The sequence below is a fragment of the Homo sapiens genome, chromosome 4, assembly GCF_000001405.40.
Source record: "Homo sapiens chromosome 4, GRCh38.p14 Primary Assembly".
Lineage (NCBI taxonomy): Eukaryota > Metazoa > Chordata > Mammalia > Primates > Hominidae > Homo > Homo sapiens.
In genome coordinates, this window is record NC_000004.12 from 101,555,115 (window position 1) to 101,557,520 (window position 2,406).

Below are 2,406 nucleotides of genomic sequence, written 5' to 3' on the forward strand. Positions count from 1 at the left end.
GATTCAAAATATATATGTATGTAAAATTCTCGGCCTTGACTTAATAATAGTAGTTGTTATTATTGCTATCATTATTATATTATGAACCTTCTGTAGAGATTTTGTTGATAGCTTGAGTTGAATGGGAATGAAAATAGAATTTTTCTCCTTTTTGTACCAGTATTTATTTCTTCTGAGAGAAGACTGTGACTGTGTACATATGTTGATAGAGAGCACCAGTACCTGACCTTGTAATTGCATTCACTCAAATAAAAAAAAAACCTGTTTATAACCAGTTCAATAAACAATTGTTGAGCATGAGGATATGTTAGGCAGAGTGACATTATAACGAAAGGAAGATTACAGTAGGAGGAGGCAGAAAGCTGCACAGTGAGATGACTTGACCAAGTCTAAGCAAGAGGAAATGGATACCTGAACTAGGTCAGCTGCCGGGGATGTGGAATGCAGATGAGCCTGAGAAAAACACTTATGAGACTAATCATCAGGACTTCATGACTGGTGGAAGGTACAGAATGCAGAAGAGAGATGATAGGTTTTACATACATTGGCTTGTTTCTGAACTTCTGAGTGTACCAGAAATTCCAGTACCAATTGCCTTAATCATCTAGGATCAGATCCATCTTTTTAATGTTAAAGTAGATTCTAGAGAGGCATTTTTGGACTGTATAACATGTCTCTTAAGGATTCACATCATAACAATCATGCCGGCTGGGTGCGGTGGCTCATGCCTGTAACCTGTAATCCTAGCACTTAGGGAGGGTGAGATCAGGTGTTGGAGACCAGCCTGGCCAACATGGCGAAACCCCATCTCTACTAAAAATACGAAAATTAACTAGGAATGGTGGCACATGCCTGTAATCCTAGCTACTTGGGAGGCTGAGGAAGGTGAATTGCTCAGACCCAGGAGGCGGAGGTTGCAGTGAACCAATATCAGGCCACTACACCCCAGATTTTGTCTAAAAAGAAAAAAAAAATCCTCCCTGCATTGGGACTTGAGAATCCCAGTGTCAGGGCTACGTAATATTTGAGTGTATTCTCTATTGTATACTGGTGTTTGTTTTCTTTATATTAGTTTCCTTTCTCCAATCTTATTTATTTATTTAGAGATGGAGTCTTGGTCTGTCATCTAGGTTGTAGTGCAGTGGTGCTATCTTGGCTCACTGCAACCTCCCACTCCAGGGTTCAGAGATTCTCCTGCCTCAGCCTCCTGAGTAGCTGGGACTACAGGCATGCGCCACCATGCCTGGCTAATTTTTTGTATTTTCAGTACAGGATTTCACTATGTTGGCCAGGCTGGTCTCAAACTCCTGACCTCTGGTGATCTGCATGCCCTGGCCTCCTAAAGTGCTGGGATTACAGGCATGAGCCACCATGCCTGGCCCATTCTTTATTTTATATAAATCTCTTAGTCATAAGGAAGAACATGTATTCTTGTGCATGTACACATATACATACATATGTATGAATATGAGATAAACTCATGATAAAGACTTGAAAAAAATAAAAATCAGAAATCACCAAAACAGTATTAAAAGAGTACAAATATATATAGAATAATATATTAGAATCTAATAATAATATATTAGAATAATCTTATTCTAATATCTAAATGCTGATATTAAACACATTATTACCACCTAGTCAGATCCTGTACAGTGCTATATGTTTCCACGTAATTCATATTCAGTTTGAAATTCCATTACAAGTTGTATTAGTCTGTTCTCATGCTGCTATAAGGACATACCCAAGATGAGCAATTTATAAAGGAAAGAAGTTTAATTGATTCACAGTTCTGCATGTCTGAGGAGGCCTCAGGAAACTTACAATAACAGTGAAAGGGGAAGTAAACACGTCCTTCATCACATGGCAGCAGGAGAGAGAAGTGCAGAGGGAAGGGGGAAAGTCCCTTATAAAACCATCAGCTCTCATGAGAACTCACTGTCACGAGAACAGCATGAGGGGACTGCCCCCATGTCTAATCGCCTCCCAGGAGGTCCCTCCCACAACACATTGAGATTGCAATTCAGATTACAATTCAAGATGAGATTTCGGTGGGGACACAGAGCCAGATTATATCACAGGGCTTTCAAAATTAGCTTATTATTAAAGCTCCTCAGATTGTTTTAATAGCAGCCTGGTAAGGGAGAACATGTTTCCTGGATAAAGTCTGAATTATTTATTATGACATATAAGGCCCTCTACAATCTGAATCTTGCTGGCCACCCTCACCCCACTTCCCCAGTGCTTTCCACTTGCACCAAGTAGCTTGCAATTTTCGAGACACACCCAATGTGGTTGTACCAACTTGCCGTATTTGCTTGCTGTATTCACATTTCAAGAACCCAGGTTAGAATTGATTATTAACTCCTTTCAGTTTCTCCTCTATTCTGTATGTACTCCTATCAC

At 39.8% G+C, this 2,406-nt stretch overlaps 1 annotated feature.

Annotated features, from left to right (window-relative positions):
* Positions 1,803-1,922: an enhancer, noted in NCBI's record as "active region_21749". NCBI's record gives its function as "activates an Ori minimal core promoter by ATAC-STARR-seq in GM12878 lymphoblastoid cells {active_cell/tissue: GM12878}" and the evidence as "EXISTENCE:reporter gene assay evidence [ECO:0000049][PMID:35858748]".